The sequence below is a fragment of the Homo sapiens genome, chromosome 2 (assembly GCF_000001405.40).
Source record: "Homo sapiens chromosome 2, GRCh38.p14 Primary Assembly".
Classification (NCBI taxonomy): domain Eukaryota; kingdom Metazoa; phylum Chordata; class Mammalia; order Primates; family Hominidae; genus Homo; species Homo sapiens.
In genome coordinates this window covers 89,158,722-89,178,283 of record NC_000002.12, presented here as the reverse complement: position 1 = coordinate 89,178,283, position 19,562 = coordinate 89,158,722, and the positions used below count along the sequence as shown (strand labels likewise).

The 19,562-nt window shown below is 39.5% G+C and overlaps 2 pseudogenes, 2 gene segments (V, D, J or C) and 1 further gene, besides 8 other annotated features; 4 read left to right on the top strand and 1 right to left on the bottom strand.

Moving 5' to 3' along the window:
* Positions 1-19,562, bottom strand: part of IGK (immunoglobulin kappa locus) — a 1,378,008-nt gene that overhangs the window by 1,057,085 nt on the left and 301,361 nt on the right.
* Positions 1,154-1,202: a sequence feature (IGKV2-24 leader sequence).
* On the top strand, positions 1,154-1,956 carry IGKV2-24 (immunoglobulin kappa variable 2-24). The segment is given in 2 exon segments: positions 1,154-1,202; positions 1,646-1,956. Coding segments are annotated over 2 exon segments (360 nt in total), but the record flags the coding sequence as incomplete, so codon positions are not given.
* Positions 1,646-1,656: a sequence feature (IGKV2-24 leader sequence).
* Positions 5,241-5,289: a sequence feature (IGKV2-23 leader sequence).
* Positions 5,241-5,956, top strand: IGKV2-23 (immunoglobulin kappa variable 2-23 (pseudogene); annotated as a pseudogene). Its single transcript is given in 2 exon segments — positions 5,241-5,289; positions 5,734-5,956. Coding segments are annotated over 2 exon segments (272 nt in total).
* Positions 5,734-5,744: a sequence feature (IGKV2-23 leader sequence).
* Positions 7,072-7,126: a sequence feature (IGKV1-22 leader sequence).
* On the top strand, positions 7,072-7,539 carry IGKV1-22 (immunoglobulin kappa variable 1-22 (pseudogene); annotated as a pseudogene). The gene is given in 2 exon segments: positions 7,072-7,126; positions 7,240-7,539. Coding segments are annotated over 2 exon segments (355 nt in total).
* Positions 7,240-7,250: a sequence feature (IGKV1-22 leader sequence).
* Positions 17,982-18,027: a sequence feature (IGKV6-21 leader sequence).
* Positions 17,982-18,533, top strand: IGKV6-21 (immunoglobulin kappa variable 6-21 (non-functional)). The segment is given in 2 exon segments: positions 17,982-18,027; positions 18,238-18,533. Coding segments are annotated over 2 exon segments (342 nt in total), but the record flags the coding sequence as incomplete, so codon positions are not given.
* Positions 18,238-18,248: a sequence feature (IGKV6-21 leader sequence).

The window sequence follows — 19,562 nt, the reverse complement described above, 5'->3', positions numbered from 1 at the left end:
AAAAATCTGACTTTAATCAATAGAAAATACCAAACAATAGAACTTAAGGGACATTCTGAAAAATAACCAGCCAGCATACATCAAAAGTTTCAAGGTATTTCAAAACAAAGACTAAAAAACTGTCAGAGATTGAAGGAAATTAAGAAAGCATGAAAACTGAATGCAATATGGGATCCAGAAATTTTATCCTAAAACATTAAAAGTAAAAATGGTAAATACATGTATCAGTGGAAAGCTCAGTGAAATTCAAATGTAGATTGTAACTTCATTAATAATAGTGGATTAACCATTAATGTTAAAGCTATTTGAAGTACTAGAAAAATCAGTTTAAAATGATTTTATATTCAGCAAAACTATCCTTAAAGAAAAGAAAAGAAGCCGTGACTAGCATATATCTCCTATAAGAAACTCAAGAAGAAATCCTTCAGAATTCAGAATCACAGTAAACGACAATGAACAGTAATTTAAATCCATGAAATTAAATGAAAGCTTCATAAATATACTTACCTCAATTCATATGTTGTTGATGTTCACGAAAACTGAATCTTTGTGATAGATATCAGAGTTGCAGTTCCCTTGGTAGGTTAGAGGCAGAAGCTATTGACTAGAAAGGTGAATGAAGGCAGCATGTGGAGAATTTCAAATCATTCATATTTGTATCTGGGTAGTGAATGTGAGTACTTTATTTGGCTGAGCAGCGAACATGTTTGCACTTTACTCAGGGCACAATTTATTTTGATTTATAAAATTAACAGCAAACCAAGACCCTTTCAACACACATGAAGAAAAAAATAAGAAGCACCAAATATTTACAGAAACTCAGCCGTATTAAAGAGAAGTGTAATAAGCACTGGGAAAATACTAGGAAGTAAAAAAATTGACAGTAAACACAGTAAACATAGAAATATATCCTGTCCCAATCAGGCTGCATAGATTGTTATTTCTGCCAGTTTTTTCTCAAGCATACAAAATATGTTGTTCATAGGAAAGGCCCCCATACCCCTGCACATATCATGTTATTTCTACACCACTGCACCCACCAGGGGATTTGCATATTGTCCCCCAGGGAGGACCTTCCCTTGCAAGTCTGAGATAAAAGCTCAGCACCAACCTTGACTTAACTAATTAGGACTCCTCAGGTCACCTTCTCACAATGAGGCTCCTTGCTCAGCTTCTGGGGCTGCTAATGCTCTGGGTCCCTGGTGAGGACAGAAGAGAGATGAGGGAGGAGAATGGGGTGGGAGGGTGAACTCTGGGGGCCCCATTGCCTCCCATGTGTGTTCTGTCCTCATGTTAGATGTGTACGTCTTGTACTCCAGGATGGGGCTTGTAACTTTTATATCTGCGTGAGTAAGGCATGTGAGGTTTAGATCTGTAAGAATGAGGAAGATTCCAGAAGGAACAAAGACCAGTGCTCCGGTGAAGACTCTAACAGAGAAAGAGGGAATGGTAGAGGAAACTTCTAGCACTCAAAGCACTCTGCTGTGCTTTGAAAATATGTTTTTATTTTGAAATTATATATTACTAGGGTCTGAATCAAATTATAAAAATTGATTTAGCCTGAAATAAATAACAGAAGAAAAATTATTTTAAAATTGTGCTTAAAGTTTCTACATAACCTTGCACTTCTCTCTCATTATTTCAGGATCCAGTGGGGATATTGTGATGACCCAGACTCCACTCTCCTCACCTGTCACCCTTGGACAGCCGGCCTCCATCTCCTGCAGGTCTAGTCAAAGCCTCGTACACAGTGATGGAAACACCTACTTGAGTTGGCTTCAGCAGAGGCCAGGCCAGCCTCCAAGACTCCTAATTTATAAGATTTCTAACCGGTTCTCTGGGGTCCCAGACAGATTCAGTGGCAGTGGGGCAGGGACAGATTTCACACTGAAAATCAGCAGGGTGGAAGCTGAGGATGTCGGGGTTTATTACTGCATGCAAGCTACACAATTTCCTCACACAGTGGTACAGCTCTGAACAAAAACCTCCCGCTGGAGTGGCCCAGCTGCTCAAGTGTGTTGTTTCTCTGGGGAGCAGTTGAACAGAATCTCTATCTGTATGAGATAAACATGTTGGAGAACTCAGGGCAACAGGTTGCATCTGAGGGTTCTGTCCCATGGGTGCCTCAGTTGTACGTCAGGCAAAACCCGTTCACAGCCCTGTCAGCTGCAACAGCCTTGGCATGGCATAAGCCATAGGAAACCAGAGGTGATCCCAGTGCCTGCACAGGTAATAGACTGCCCTGAGGGAGAGCTTAAGAAAATCCTATTCCAATCCTCCCTGCCTTGCCTGCATTGGGAAATAAGACTTAAAGAGGTAAATAACCAGACAAGTAACCCAGATTTGTTGCAACACTTCTTGAATATATCTTGAGGTTTAGAAGTTTAAAGTCTACATTTAAGAGGATAATATGTGGTAATATCCAAAAATTGAACTTTTCAACTTTCCTAACTTCTTATTTTTCTCTTTCACCACCTATCTTCCCACCACATATTGATGGTGGAAAGAGCCTTCCGCACAAGCTGTCATCATGAGGAGCTGGATGAGGGCAATTAGTGAAAATCTTGGATTTCAGCCTCAGAATGGACTTTTGTAAATTGGTGAGAGATAGAAAATATGAATGCTAAAATTATTTTATTCACTTCAATTGTGTCTTGCTGACAGAAAAGGATAGTTTTTGAAATTTCAGAAGTTGAGTTTCATAAACAGAAACTTAAACTATAAGACATAGGTTATAGAATTTACCTCATAGAACACTGAAATAACACAGAATGATATGCGATTTCTTTCCCCAAAATGTAAGAGTTTGAAGACAGTGGGCAGACTTCAAGAATGGGAGAATTAATGGAAGATAGTGGAGGTCAACTATGGCCCAATAACCTGCTCTTTGACTTACATTAGGTACAGTTGTGGATGACAGTGACTGTTGGGGGTTGGTGATATAAACTCAGAAAGGAGCCCAAATGTCTTTCTTATGAAGAATCACAGAGGAGAAAGTATCACTCCCTGGCTCCATGGGTTGAGCCTGCACCACTGCAAGTTTCAAGGAAAAGTAGTTCATCAAGAATGATCTTTTAGTTCTGCAATCATCAAATGTTTATTGAAGTTCCTGTGCAAATAGACCTGAGGTTCTGTGACTCAGTCACAGTCAAACTAAAATAACCCAGCAGATGCCATATGGTTGGGTTTGAGAACACAAATCATGCAGTGGCATGCTAACCTGAAGTCCCAATAGAGTCTACATCAACTGGGGAGCAGTGGCAATGATGACCAATATATCCATGATTCAGACATGTATTATGAATGGTCTGCGCAGAATTTATCAACAACAAAAACTCCATGAATCCTCTGTATGGGGAGTTTCTGTCTTTCTAGACCAGCACCCAAAGACTGCACATGTCATCAAACCACAGCCAATGTTCCATGGAGAACACTATCTGTGAGTTGAGGCTGCATTGTGCAACCAAAGAGGCACAGCCAGATTCTCCTTTCACAGATGAGTTTCTCTGCCCGTGCCAAAGCAGAACTTGGGTCCAAATGCCAACCTGGCAAATATGGCAGGGGAACAAAAAGTCAGGTAAGCATCAGCTCAATTAGAGAGGATTTCCTCACCCTGGAATTTTAGATTACCTAGGCCTTATTCTGTCCACTGTTCTCTGATGTTATAATTTCATAAATTTTGTATTTTTTGTACCTTTGGCAGCAGTTGCTTTAGGGCTTTTAACCACAATGTTATTGTACCTGGGAGTGGAGATAACTTTTTCAACTAAATAATGTTTTAGAAATGACAATTTTGGTATTCAATTGTCATGAAAAGAATAAATGGTTTTCAATATATAAGTACATGCATCATTTTCACACAATGTAGTCATTACATGAAAATGAACCTCATTCCTACCTTCTAGTAGTAATTGTATAGAAAATATATAGCTTGCAAAGATGACACTTAAAATAATGCCCTAAATGTATTTCTAAACTAATCATGACATGATATGATCAAAGTAAAGGGGCATTTGAATCAGCAGGACAACATACTCTTTTCCTTGTTAAGGAAGTAAACCATATTAGAAATGACTGTGTATTCCAAGATAATGCATTCTGTGGTGAGGGAAGTTAAAATTCAATTTTTGAGGAGAGAAATCCAGAAAAAAATGGATTATGGCAAGACGTTTGTAACATAGGCAAAGAATGACAATCCTTCAAAGTATTTTTCTGCACATATTCAAAAGTGGAGACACACATGCAGTCAAAATTTTAATCATTACATACTCACAATCACTTCTGTGGGGCCTGGAGATACTGCACATACGACTGTTAGCAAGACACTCACTGGGACGCTGCGTTGTGTGATGGCCCCACATACAAACCTCAAGGAGGCTCAGCCTCTCAATGCAGCAGGAGCAGCTGGGGTACCCAGGCCACACGTCCATACCAGGTGGGCTCAGTTAGAGATGGCTGGAGAGCCTTCCAGGAAGAGGCCATGAGGTTTCAGTCACAAACACTGGCTCCTCTTCTGTGTAAACAGGGGCTAGAGCCCTCCAGGACAATTCCTAGAGCCTCTCGCTTTCTCTCCAATTAGTGCACTGACACCCCACAGATTCTCCAGGAAGTGGTTGTCATGTCCTCCCTGCAACAGCCACTAAAGTTCCCTACTGCTGTCATGAATGCAGGGACACTTAGTCACATCACTGGGAGGCGACCCTAGTGTATCCTGACCTCACCTGCTGCCACTGATGACTTTCAGGGCACCTCTTTCTCCCTTTGCTGAGTGACTCTCACTCTCACCAACCATCAGGAGAATGGAAAGCTGCCTGCAATGCATGATGTTGGCTGTTGAGCAAATCAAAGCTCACAGGAGTCTCAAACATGTACACCACATAATAATATTTTCTGATAATACTATTTGGACTTTTCTTCCTTTCAATTCTGGAAGTAATTGAGAATATTTTTTGAACTCTTAGAAACACTTAGTATATATGTGTAGTAGGTAGTAACTAGTTTTGTCTACTGGTTTATTTTGTTTGCTTGTTTCAGGCCATGATGCGGCATGTTAAAATACTGAAGACAAAGATACATTTTAGAATTAAGCATACTGTACATTGGCTCTTTCCACACCACTGCAACCACCAGGGGATGTGCATATTGTCCCTTAGGAATGACCTTCCCTTGTGAGTCTGGGAGTAAAGCTCAGCTGTAACCTTGCCTTAACTGATCAGGACTCCTCAGTTCACCTTCTCACAGTGAGGTTCCCTGCTCAGCTCCTGGGGCTGCTAATGCTTTGGGTTCCTGGTAAGGACAGAGGAGATGAGGGAGGAGAATGGGGTGGGAGGGTGAGCTCTGGGGGCCCCACTGTCACCCATGTGTGTTCTGTCCACGTGTTGGATGCACGTGTCTTGTGCTCCAGGATAAAATGTATGGTGGCACTTTTATATGTGAAAGAGTGAGGAAGATTCCAGAAAAAGCAAAGACCTGTGCTCTGGTGCAGATTCTGACATAGAAAGAGGAGGGTAGCATAAGTGACTTCCAAAGGGCAACTTGGGCCTTCAAAATGTCTGTTTTTTTTTTAATTAAATTTTTTTGGTGCATGAATCAAAATTACACACACACTCACACACACACACACACACACACACGCGCCGCAATACAATTATTTAGCATTAAATAATTGTAGAGAAATTATGATAATGTCTCATGATTTACATAACATTGTACTTCTTTTTTATATTACTTTAGGATCCGGTGGGAATATTGTGATGACCCAGACTCCACTCTCTCTGCCCGTCACCAATGGAGAGCCGGCCTCCATCTCCTGCAGGTCTAGTCAGAACCTTTTACATGGTAATGGATACACCTATTTGTATTAGTTCCTGCAGAAGCCAGGCCACTCTCCACAGCTCCTGATCTGTAGGACTTCCAATCAGTTTTCTGCCTTCCCACACAGGTTCTCCCCAGTGGGAGGAGAGAGTAGACCAGTCATCCCCAGATATATCACAGGACTAGTTTCAACCTTTGGAAGCTGGTCTATATCCTATGGTTAAATAGGCATTTGTGATACGACCTGAAATACATTTGGACAAGAACTTCACTAACAATTGAGTCACTGAAGACTTACGGCCCTGTGTGACGCACCACATAACTGTGAGTTTGCAGTGGTTGCAGGTCAGGGACAGATTTTATGCTTAAGATCAGTAGGGTGGAGGCTGAGGATCTTGGCTATTACAACTGCCACCACACTCTACAATATCCTCCCACAATGGTTCAGCACCAAACAAAAGCCTCCTGCTTGGATTGTCCCAGCTGCCCAAATTAGTTCCTTCACTGAGGAGTAGACAGGGTATATTCTCTAAATCTATGTAACAGGAAGATGTTGGTGAACTCAGGGGATTAGTATGAAGCTACACCTCAGGCATCACACATAAGATCACTTCAGCAGTCGCAGCCTTAGCATGGGCAGAACCTACAGAAGATGCAAGTGCCCTCTGAGCCAGGAGACAGGAGGAAGGAGGAAGGGAAAGGTGACTTAGCTCATCTCAATCCTCTCTCCTTTGCATACATTTGTCAACCAGATGTATTCAGCCTACCAGTCACACAACTGAGGCTGATACATGACAACATAGCACTGGTATATTCTTGGTATTGTTTGGCTTAGCAGTTACTAGTATATATTTAATGGGAGAATATTTGGTGGTGTTAACACATTGCTTATCTCCCTTTCCCCAGTTGTACTTTACACTTGTTCTTGGCACACATTCTCCTCCAGGACTGGAGCATTCACAGGGTTTTATGTTACTGTTCTTATGGGAGTAAAAAGAAAAACGATTCACATTCTTGCTACTGAGCTAGGCTGGGATGCCCTGGGCCAAGCTGAAAATGTGAAAAATAAGAGTATGAATATTTATTAAGTTTTATCTGGATCTAAGATACTTATCCATGAACCAGTCCTGCAGCTGTGCCCAGCCTGCTCCATTCCCTGCTGATTTGCATGTTCCCAGAGCACAACCCCCTGTTCTGAAGACTTCTTAATAGGCTGGTCACACCCTGTGCAGGAGTCAGTCTCAGTCAGGACACAGCATGGACATGAGGGTCCCCACTCAGCTCCAGGGGCTCCTGCTGCTCTGGCTCCCAGGTACGGATGGAGAACACTAGGAATTTACTCAGCCAATGTGCTCAGTACAGCCTGGCCTTTCAGGGAAATCATCTTATAAATAGTTGTGTGGATTATTTGTTTTTATGTCCCAGGAGTCAGATGTAATTTCCAGATGACTCAGTCTCCATCCTCCCTGACTGCATCTGTAGGAGAGAGAGTCACCATCACTTGCTGGGCGAGTCAGGGCATTTGCAATTATTTAAGCTAGTATCAGTAGAAACTAGAGAATCCTCCTAAGCTCCTGATCTATGCTGCATCCAGTTTGCAATCTGGGGTCCCGTCACGGTTCAGTGGCAGTAGGTCTGGGACACATTTCACACATTCTCACCATCAGGAGCCTGCAACCTGAAGATGTTATAACTTATTGCTGTCTATAGACTTACAGCAGCCATCCTAGAGTGTTACAGGTCATAAAATAAACCCCCAGGGAAGCAGAAGTATGACTCATGGCTGCCCCAGGTGCTTCCACTGGTGCCTCCATCTGCTGAGAGTGTTTCTCAGGTGCAGCCAAGATTTAAAGGTTTTTGTAGGAATGGCCAGAAGTCTCATCTGCATTCTAACTCTTTTTCTTCCTGCTTAGCCCCAGCAGCACAGACATGACACTATCTCTCCTGATTTAATAAGGGATAGCATTTACGATACCTGAAGAATCTGTGTTATTGCATCCATCTGGGTCATAGATTAAAAGAGAAACCACTCTACAGATTGCCAGAAGGCATTGTTTTAATACAGGGAATTAGAGTTGAATATACAAAACTGGGAGTGTGGTAGTTAGGGAAGCTGACACTAGAAACACGGGAGTCTCTGGAGGTCTGCCAGAAGCCAGAGTTCATCAGCCGCTAAAGGCATGGGCTATCTAACCATATAGTCTTCTTTGTCTAGGAAGTCCGTATGCGAAGATGCTGATGCTATCAGTTGTTGCAGCACCTCACCAGGTGATTCTCCAGTCCTTATCTCAGTGAACATGTTTGCCTACCGGTGTCAAAGAATATTGAATCGCCTTCTTCTTACCTTCAAATATGATGAGAGGTCTTCTCTTTGAGTAACTCTACAAGAAACCATAGAGGGTTTAATGTGTTTCAGGAAAGGTGCTTTTAGAAATCATGGTGAATATGAGGAATTACAGCCAAGTGAGATAAGTATTTCCCAAAATCTCAGAATTTTCCAGGTATGGGGTGGCTTCAGAATACATTTGGATGTTCTTACATGTATTATTAGAAAGTTTGGTATTATTGCAAGAAAATTTTATTAAGTCGTAAAGTAAAAGAAAAAAATGACAACATTGCTTGAAATACATAGCAATCCTTTGACAAATGAAAAAAAAATTGACAAAACAAACAAGAACACCTATAGGTGCACGTAGCATACTTTTTCCTTAATATAAGAGCACTTTGCTACTTAAAATTTGTCCAGATTCCAGTGGCATTCTCAGCGTCACTATGAACACAGTACAAATGCAAAGTAGCAGATGTGCTTTAGACCTTGTTGCATGATAACCTGCACTTCAACTAGTTAAGAGGTAACGTACGGGTGTTTCAAGAAGCCAAGTTTTAGAAGACATTTACTTTAGCTAAAGATTTTTTTTTCCCCCACAGTGAGAACATTTATGTTAAAACCACTTAAAAATATATGCTGCTTTATTTCTAATTAATGCAAAATTACATTCAAAAATATTTTTAATATTCTAAAAGTTGAAAAACAATTATTTTTTATCAATGGATCAAATACTTTGATAGTTAAATGCAGTAAACGTTTTTAGAAACTTTAGGACTTAACAAAGTAAAAGAATAAATTAAATTGTGTTCACTGTTTTAGAGAACATTAGGATACCATTTGCCTGGTCAGTTTTGTTTGAAAATTGTGTTCCTTTTTGCTGCCTTCCATACAAATGTTGTGTCTTGGCTAGGCCCTTCCTTGATCCCAAATGAAACACAATCTAGAGGCAGAAGAACCACTCCACTAAGCTCTTCCTTGATCAGCCACATCATTGTTATCATAAACATCTATTAACAAGAAAATATCTGCTTAGTTTTATTATCCGCTGAGTTTTGAGCAGTGGATAAGTGCATGTTTCCGTAAGTGCACTTTTTCCATAAGTGAGGTGAATTTCACTTAATTCATATCATTTAGCTTTAATTTCCTCTAAGTGTCTTTATAAATAGATGACTAAATATTTATATTTATGCTATCAGATTTGATAACATGCATCTATCTATATGACTGGATGTGTGAATATTATATTGGTCAGCTTTCACCCAGGTGGTCATGTCAGAAAAGGCTGTTAGCTTAGCCTGAGTGTAGAATTTCTATCTTAGATCACATATATCATGTGTCTTCCTGTCTTATATCCCTGTGTCTTCCTGTCTCACCAATTATCTAGATTCAGTGAATGGTGTGTGGTACAAGACTTGTAGGAACTAAATTAAGTTGTGTGGTCCCATTTCTTTTGTTTCTACCCTAAATATGCCTAGTTGTTTTCCCTGGTGCATGACAGAATATGGTTGGAATGAAGAGTTATTGGAACTTTATCTCCCAAGTACACCTTTCACTTGCTGCTTAGGGATCTTTTCTGAGGGCCCTGAAGCTTCCTCAAAGAGCAACACTCAAGTACCCACAGTGCTGCAGGTGCAGGGGTGACCACAACTGCACAGATGAGAAGCACCCAGGCTCTGACCCTTCAGGTTACCAATGCCATTTCCCTGAAGACAGACAATCATGCTGTCCATGCAGGTAACAGACAATGATGCTGTCCATATAGGCAGGGGACAACTCCTTGGGTGATCCTCTAATCTACACACCGCTTGATTCTGTGCAATGCTTATATCAATCCAGAGTCAGGTTCTCTTCTCCTTAATAGTTCCCAGAACCTCTGCTTACACCCCCTGAATCTCATTTCATATACTGCTGCTCCTTTCCTTTAATCAGTTAAAATCGTTTGCTTTTTCTTCCTTTCTCTTAGGTATCAAGGAAGCAGTTTTATTAATGCTGCTCTAAGTTTCAATTGGATCTTCATTCATTCTGGAAATAGAGTCAACAATATTTATCTAACTGTCAAGACGTTATCTTGGCAAGCCCTGAAATCAAATCCATTGTGTTGGAGACAGAGCTTTAATCCTTATAGATTATGTGCCATTAGTAAATTTGCTTATGTGAAACTTTGGCAATAATAGAATCTACCTAAAAGGTCTCTTTACAATTTATACAAGGTAAAGCATTTACAATAGTATCTAATCATTATATGTGCTGGTATTAATTTTGTTGTTACTATTATGATAACATTTAGCACTGTAATGATCATTATTATCATCACTAGACTAATTTAGAAGAGAGTTAGGAGAAACAATCTTAATTCTAATCCAAGGATGTTTCATCTATAGCCACATTAGTTTCTGAGATGGGATTTTCACTAACTGACTCACAATTCTTAAAATGCTAATGATTTGTTCTTGATCTATACTAACTTGCTCAGACCTTCAATCATGCCCACCCAGATGGGTCCATTGCATTTCTTCTCATCATTCATTATCATAACTTTATCCTATGAAAGGTTAGAATGTCATATTGCTGTCCTTTCTTACATAATCTTTATTCTGTCTTTTTAACCTTTTCTCATTTTTTCTACTACATCTGCCATAACTCAAAAACCAAATCTCAGTTTTTTCCCAGGATTGGCATGCTTCTGTGCTAAAGATGTTGTTCATTCTCTTACTTTCTGGATTTCTACGGGACAAATTATTTCAAACTCAGGCCTTTCTAATACCTCAGAGGTATAGGGCATAAAAGAGAAAGAAAAAGCATATGTACGAGTGTGATTTGACAAATTGAAAAGTCACTTCACCTTTTTGTGAAGTCATCTATTCTTTCTTGCAAGGGTTTTCAAGTTGTGCCTATATTTTTAAACACGTATGACTTCTTCAAACACTTTTCTTCTCTAAGTCTTTTCCTCCAAAAGCCCCAGTCAGATTAACTGTATCCAGTAAAGTATGGTTGGCCCTTCTCTGATATCCTCTCTATATATACCCAAAAGTTTCCATTCTCTTCTAACATTTTTGTTTCATTACCATCCAAAGACAAAATTCTATTAAATTTTCAGATAATAACTTAAAAATTTGGAGAAGTACATATTTCTAGAAATAACTGTCATGCATATGTAGCCACATGTTCTTTAACTGAGGGACCAGAACCTCGTATTTCCAGAAAGAGTGTCTGAACTGTGTGCATACTAAAATGGTACAAATGGTATCTCAGTCTCCTCAGCAGAAGTAGCTCAGGGCAAGCTGTTCCTATCCATTTGATTCTTGCAGTATTCCAAGTGCTAGAAAATTATGTTTTTCCAAACAGTTGATTCAGTAACTGCTGTTCATTTGTTGATACCACTACATTTTAATAAATCTCATTCCTCTGGGTTTTTTTTCAGGCTATTAACATTTAAATGGTAAATGGCCATCATAGTAACATTTGCCATTTAAAAGCCAGCTCATTTATTTGTTCAATATTCTCTATTGTACAGTAAGTGTGAAGAGGGTTAAAGCCTAAGCAACATAAAAAAAAATAGTTTCAGACAGGAATAGGTTATTTCTCAGAAAGTCAGCAAATAACCAAATACAAAGAGTGATAGAAGCAGCTGGCTTAATTAGCTTTGTCCAAGACCTCCTTTCAGAAACCAGAATCTTTGGGACACAGCAAAAGCAGTGTTTAAAGGGAAATTTATAGCACTAAATGCTCACGGGAGAAAGCAGGAAACATCTAAAATCGACACCCTTACATCACAATTAAAATAACTGGAGAAGCAAGAGCAAACAAATTCAAAAGCTAGCAGAAGACAAGAAATAACTAAGATCAGAGCAGAACTGAAGGAGATAGAGACACGAAAAACTCTTCAAAAAAAATCAATGAATCCAGGAGCTGGTTTTTTTGAAAAGAGCAACAAAATAGATAAACCACTAGCCAGACTAATAAAGAAGAAAAGAGAGAAGAATGAAATAAACACATAAAAAATGATAAAGGAGGTATCACCACTGATCCCACAGAAATACAAACTACCATCAGAGAATACTATAAACACCTCTAAACAAATAAACTAGAAAATCTAGAATAAATGGATAAATTCCTCGACATATACACCCTCCCAAGTCTAAACCAGGAAAAATTTGAATCCCTGAGTAGACCAACAACAAAGTCTGAAATTGAGGCAGTAATTAATAGCCTACCAACCAAAAAAAAGTCCAGGGCCAGATGGATTCACAGCCGAATTCTACCGGTAGAAAAAGAAGCTGGTACCATTCCTTCTGAAAATATTCCACACAATAGAGAAAGAAAGAATACTCCCTAACTTGTTTTATGAGGCCAGCATCACCCTGATACCAAAACCTGGCAAAGACACACACAAAAAAGAAAATTTCAGGCCAATATTCATGATAAACATTGATGCGAAAATCCTCTGTAAAATACTGGCAAACCGAATCCAGCAGCACATCAAAAAGCTTATCCACCATGATCAAGGTGGCTTCATCCCTGGGATGCAAGGCTGGCTTAACATATGCAAATCAATAAATGTAATCTATCACACAAACAGAACCAATGACAAAAACCACATGATTATCTCAATAGATGCAGAAAGAGTCTTTGATAAAATTCAATACCTCTTCATGCTAAAAACTCTCAATAATCTAGGTATTGATGGAATGTATCTCAAAATAATAAGAGCTATTCATGACAAACCCACGGCCAAGATCATACTGAATGGGCAAAACTGGACACATTCTTGTCAAATACTGGCGCAAGACAAGGATGCCCTCTCTCACCACTCCTATTCAATATAGTATTGGAAGTTCTGGGAAGGGCAATCAGGCAAGAGAAGGAAATAAAGCATATTCAAATAGGAAGAGAGGAATTCAAATTGTCTCTTTTTGCAGATTACATGATTGTATACTTAGAAAACCCCATGGTCTCAGCCCCAAATCTCCTTAAGCTGATAAGCAACTTCAGCAAAGTCTCAGGATACAAGATCAATGTGCAAAAATCACAAGCATTCCTATATATCAATAATAGACAAACAGAGAGCCAAATCATGCATGAACTCCCATTCACAATTGCTACAAAGAGAATAAAAAACTTAGGAATACAGCTTACAAGGGATGTGAAGGATCTCTTCAAGGAGAACTACAAACCACTGCTCAAGGAAATAAGAGAGGACAGAAACAAATGGAAAAACATTCCATGCTCATGGATAAGAAGAATCAATATCGTGAAAATGGCCATACTGCACAAGGTAATTTATAGATTCAATGCCACCCCCATCAAGCTACCATTGACTTTCTTCACAGAATAAGAAAAAAATACTTTAAATTTCATATGGAACTAAAAAAGAGCCCACATAGCCAAGACAATCTAGACAGAAAGAACAAAGCTGGAGGCATCACGCTACCTGACTTCAAACTATATTACAAGGCTACAGTAACCAAAACAGCATGGTACTGGTACCAAAACAGATATATAGACAAATGGAACAGAACAGAGGCCTCAGACAGATGCTGGAGAGGATGTGGAGAAATAGGAATGCTTTTACACTGTTGGTGGGAGTGTAAATTAGTCCAACCATTGTGGAAGACAGTGTGGCGATTCCTCAAGGATCTAGAACCGGAAATACCATTTGACCCAGCAATCCCATTACTAGGTATATAGCCAAAGGATTATAAATCATTCTACTATAAAGATGCATGCACACATATGTTTATTGCGGCACTGTTTACAATAGCAATGACTTGGAACCGACCCAAATGCCCATCAATGAGAGACTGGATAAAGAAAATGTGGCACATATACACCATGGAATACTATGCAGCCATAAAAAAGGATGAGTTTATGTCTTTTGCAGGGACATGGATGAAGCTGGAAGCCATCATTCTCAGCAAACTAACACAAGAACGCAGAACCAAACACCGCGTGTTCTCATTCATAAGTGGGAGTTGATCAGTGAGAACAAATGGACACAGGGAGGAGAATGTTATACCCCAGGGCCTGTTGGGGGGTGGGGGGCTAGGGGAACAGTAGCATTGGGAGAAATACCTAATGTAGATGACAAGTTGATGTGTGTAGCAAACCACCATGGCATGTGTACACCTATGTAACAAACCTGCACGTTCTGCCCATGTATCCCAGAACTTAAAGTATAATAAAACTTTTTTTTAAAAAAGGGTTTTATTGTTCATATTAATTGATCACCATTAATAGGATATGTTGACATTTTGTAATTCTTGCTGTGCACTGAGGTTGCACCCCATTTTTTTGTTTTTGTTTTTTTGCTAAAAATAAAAGATATGAATCTAATCAGTAGAAGACTTCAAACAAATGCAACTTAAGGGATTCTCCAAAATAACTTGCCAGTACACTTCAAAGGTTTCAAAATCATGAAAGACAAAACTAAAAAACTGTCACAATTTGGGAAATATTAAGGACACAATAATTAAATGCAGTGTGGGATTTTGGATTTTTTTCTGGAACATAAAGAAGGAGATTACTGAAAAAATCAGTGAAATACAGAGGGGATTTCAAATTACTTAATTAATAGCATTGCATTTATGTTAATGCTTTGGTATTGATACTTACCCTATAGTTACGCTTGATGTTGACATTACAGAAGAAGCTAGTGGAAGAGTACATGAGAACAATCTTATTATATTATGCAAATTTTAAGTCTAAAAACATTTCAATGTTATTAAAATATATAAATAAAAATAATTAAAACATAACAAAGGACATGGATTCTTATGAAACAATTTCACAAGATTCATCATGTTTTCATATTTGTGTTTCAATCATCTGTTAAAGACAATCCTGGCTCCCATTATGTAGAGAATATTCACTTACTTGGTCAATTCTAGAATATGCATAAGGCATATTTTACAGATTTGTAGTGCATTCCCTGAAAATGTGAAATCTAGTGATTAGAGTTACATATATATTTTTTTTATTTTATTTTTTATTTTATTTTATTTTATTTTATTTTATTTTATTTTATTTTATTTTATCTTATTTTATTTTATTTTATTTTGACAGAGTCTCACTCTGTTGCCCAGGCTGGAGTGCAGTGGCGCGATCTCGGCTCACTGCAGCCTCCGCCTCCCAGGTTCAGGCGATTTTCCTATCTCAGCCCCCTGAGTAGCTGGGACTACAGGTGTGCGTCACCAAGCCTGGCTAATTTTTTGTATTTTTAGTAGAGACGGGGTTTCACCATGTTGGCCAGGCTGGTCTCAAACTCCTGACCTCAGGTGATCTGCCCACCTCCACCTCCCAAAGTGCTGGCATTACAGTCATGAGCCACCGTGCCAGCCAAGAGTTAATATTTGTTAAGTGCACGATTTCTCTTCAAACCGTGGGTATTGAGTTCAAATTCTTTACTTCAGAATTACTTATGTTTTAACATATATCTATGTCCTTTCAGTGTTGCTGTCATATTCATTAAAATTCATTTTAGAAGGCATCTCTCTTTATTGTGTCACAGAGAGATTGTTAAATCCTCTCAGCAAAAATATATGAGAAAGACAAATTAAGCATAAAGCTAAAAAATATCAAATCGGTTTCAGCGCTCTGACAATTGGCAAAGTATAAAACATTTAATACTGTATACTATTCATAACATGAAAGAATATGTTTTGAGTAAGGAAGGAAATTATGTCTGTAGCCTTTTGCCTGGGATTTCTCCCTTCCATCTCCGCTCTGTCAGCATGAATTGCAGATCTGGGGTTTTAATGAGGATGTCAGCTTGCAGCTTGCAGTCGAAGGGAGTGGACTTGAGTTGAGGTGGAGAGTCAAGCAAGATCCTTCAGTGTTTCCAGCTAAATGTGATGAATTCTGCAGGAAATGAACAGAGCAAGTTAGTTCAAACTGAGGTCTCTAGCTGGGGCAAGTGGTACACCAGCTGAAAGTTACTAGTGGACTCCTGGAAGTGATGGAATGATAGAATTGCTAAAATAATGTCTGCACAGATTTCTGGTGACTTAAAAGCTGCCGTTATGAATAACAGGGATCAAAGGTGGTGCAGTGAAAAGTAAAACAGAGGGAGATAAGAACTGGCTACATTTTGTATACACTTTTCAGAACACACACAGATGAATAGGTTTATGAGTTTCACACATTTGGGAAAAACGTTTGCCCAGCTCATTGCTATGATCTTCTTTTCCAGGACCTTAGCCAGCCAGCTATTCAGAAATCTATATGTATACTTGACTCCAGACACTTCTCTATCTACTAATTTGATGAACATGTGCTCTGCTCAGATGTAAGATAACTCAAGGTAGTATTTGACAGCCATGCATGACCGTTGCCATAGTGTGGACACAGTCCACACTTACTTACACAAACATATGATGCCAAGCCATTCAAGAGGAAGCCCAGCTTGTTCTCATTTTTGCTTTGATTTTCTTTGTTTTTGCTTATTTTCTTTTTTTTTTCTTTTTCTTTTTTTGTATTCTCTCTCTGGCATTAGCTGATCAGGAAAACCCATGATATCATAGAGAGAGCTGATGCAGAGGTGTTAAGTTGAGAGAGAAAAGTGATATAAGGAACTGGAACATCTGTCTATGGAAATGAAGCATGCCTTCTGAATCTGCTTGAACCCAGTCACTAAACTACCATCTGCATCCCAATATTGAATGGTGCTGAGCTTCACCTGATCTTAAAATTGGTGAGAGTGACATTCTCAGTTTATGAGGGGCAGCTTAGTCACTTAATTATTTAGTCAAACAGTCAATTACTCATGGACATGCCTACATGGACCCTGTGATATTTTGAGAGCTGCATTTTGAGTAGTGAGTTGTTTGTGTGTTGTTTGTTTGTTTATTTTGGGGGCATTTCAGGATCTTGCTCAAGAACTGTAGAGATTTTTTTCTGTGACTCTTTTTTGGTGCTTGCATGGAGGTTTACAGAGTTTCCTCATCTAATATAGATTATCTAGCACCAGGCAATGTGCTGGATCTCATGGCTGAAGTGACAGAGGCATTTGCATTAAAACTCAAACTTACTACAGAATATTTTCTTTCTCAGAGTTTATTCATAAAAGACAGCCTTCCAAGTTAGCTGATAAATGGGTTGGTATAGTAAACCCAAGTGCAAAATGCATTGTCAACACTCTAGGATGGCTTAACCAGTAATGTGCTTCATTGCTAGTGGTTGGAAGTACAAGGTGCAATTATTTTTCCTTACTTTGGAGGGGATAAGCCAGCATGACTCATACTCCTTTTATAAACACTTGACATCTTCTCTAATGTGACAAGCCCTTGATGTTTTGGGGCGTGCATCCCACCCTCTAGAGCACATGTGTTTTCACAAGAAATTCAGAGTTCTTACAATGTCCAGCTCATCACGTCTAATTACCATGATGTCATCAATATAGTGTTGATGCTTTGTGGAACGTTCACAAAGCTTTTTCAGCCTACATTGTGACAGAGAGCAGGAGAGTTAACATAGCCCTGGGACGAGACTGAGGATGTGAGCTGTTATTCACCCCAGATAACTGCAGACTCTCCCAGAGATGGCGATGGACTCTGCCTTCACTCTGCAGCTGTGCCCTGGGGTCTTGGTCAAGCCCTGCCAGAGCCTCAGCGGAGCTCGTCTGCAGGTGCCAGCAGAGGGCGCTTCACACCCCTCATGGAAGGGGCCGGGAGGGCGCTCTCCTGGCAACAGTGATTTCTGTTTATTTAAACCAGCAGGACATCCCCATAATTTGCATGTATCGTTCCTCCTATATGTGAAGAGGCCCTGCCTCTCGGTATCTTAAAAGAGGTTCTTTCTCTGGGATGTGGCATGAGCAAAACTGACAAGTCAAGGCAGGAAGATGTTGCCATCACAACTCATTGGGTTTCTGCTGCTCTGGGTTCCAGGTGAGAATATTTCCACAAACCTAGGCGGAGATATTCTTTCAATCTGTAATTTCTTTCATTGGGGACTCTGCAATAGGTGATTTTTGGCTTGATTTTAAAATCCTAATTTTAAAAATGTAATGCATATTCTTTCTTCATGTCTAGCAAGATTAAAGGTGATTTTCATACACAGATATTTATGTTGTACTGATGTTTGCTGTATATTTTCAGCCTCCAGGGGTGAAATTGTGCTGACTCAGTCTCCAGACTTTCAGTCTGTGACTCCAAAGGAGAAAGTCACCATCACCTGCCGGGCCAGTCAGAGCATTGGTAGTAGCTTACACTGGTACCAGCAGAAACCAGATCAGTCTCCAAAGCTCCTCATCAAGTATGCTTCCCAGTCCTTCTCAGGGGTCCCCTCGAGGTTCAGTGGCAGTGGATCTGGGACAGATTTCACCCTCACCATCAATAGCCTGGAAGCTGAAGATGCTGCAACGTATTACTGTCATCAGAGTAGTAGTTTACCTCACACTGTGTTACAACCCAGAACAAAAACTAGTTCAGCCTGGCTGAACAGAGAAACTGGGTGATACCCTAGAATACTTCTGATTGTTACAGGTGCTTTGGAGGCAATGAGTTAACCAATACAATGAAGTCTGGCTCACCCAGCAGAGAGGAAACTAGAGTCACTGCTGCATACTTTCATCTTTTTAAAAATGAATTATTTTATTTATTTCAATAGTTTTTGGGGGTATAGGTGGTTTTTAGTTACATGGATAAGTTCTTTAGTGGTGATGTCTGAGATTTTGGTGGACCTGTTACCTGAGCAGTGCATACTGTGCCCAATATGTTGTCTTCTAGCCTTCACCTCCCCTTCTATCCTTCCTCCCCAGTCCCCAAAGTCCATTATATCATTCTTACGCCTTTGCATCCTCATAGCTTAGCTCCCACTTATAGATGAAAACATATAGGTTTTCCATTCCTGAGTTACTTCATTTAGAATAATAGCCTCCAGCTTCATCCATGTTGCTGCAAAGTTCATTATTTTGTTCTGTTCTGTTTTATGGCTGAGAAGTATTTCGTGGTGTATATACACCACGTTTTCTTTATCCACTCGTTGCTTGATTGGCACTTATGGTGGTTCCATATTTTTGAAATGGAGAAATGTGCTGGAATAAACATGCATGTGCATGTTTCTTTTTCCTATAATAACTTTTTTTTTCTTTGGGTAGATAAGAAAAATAAGTACTGGGATTGCTGGACTGAATGGTATTTCTACTTTTAGTTCTTTAAGGAATCTCCATACTGTTTTTCATAGTGGTTGTACTAGTTTACATTCCCACCAGCTGTGTAAAAGTGTTCCCTCTTCACCACATCCACGCCAATATCTATTATTTTTTGACATTTTAATTATGGCCATTCTTGCATGAGTAAGGTGGTATTTCAAGGCTATGGTTACCAAAACAGCATGGTTCTAGTATAAAAATAGGCACATAGATCAATGGAACACAATAGAGAACACAGAAATAAACCCAAATGCTTATAACCAACTGATC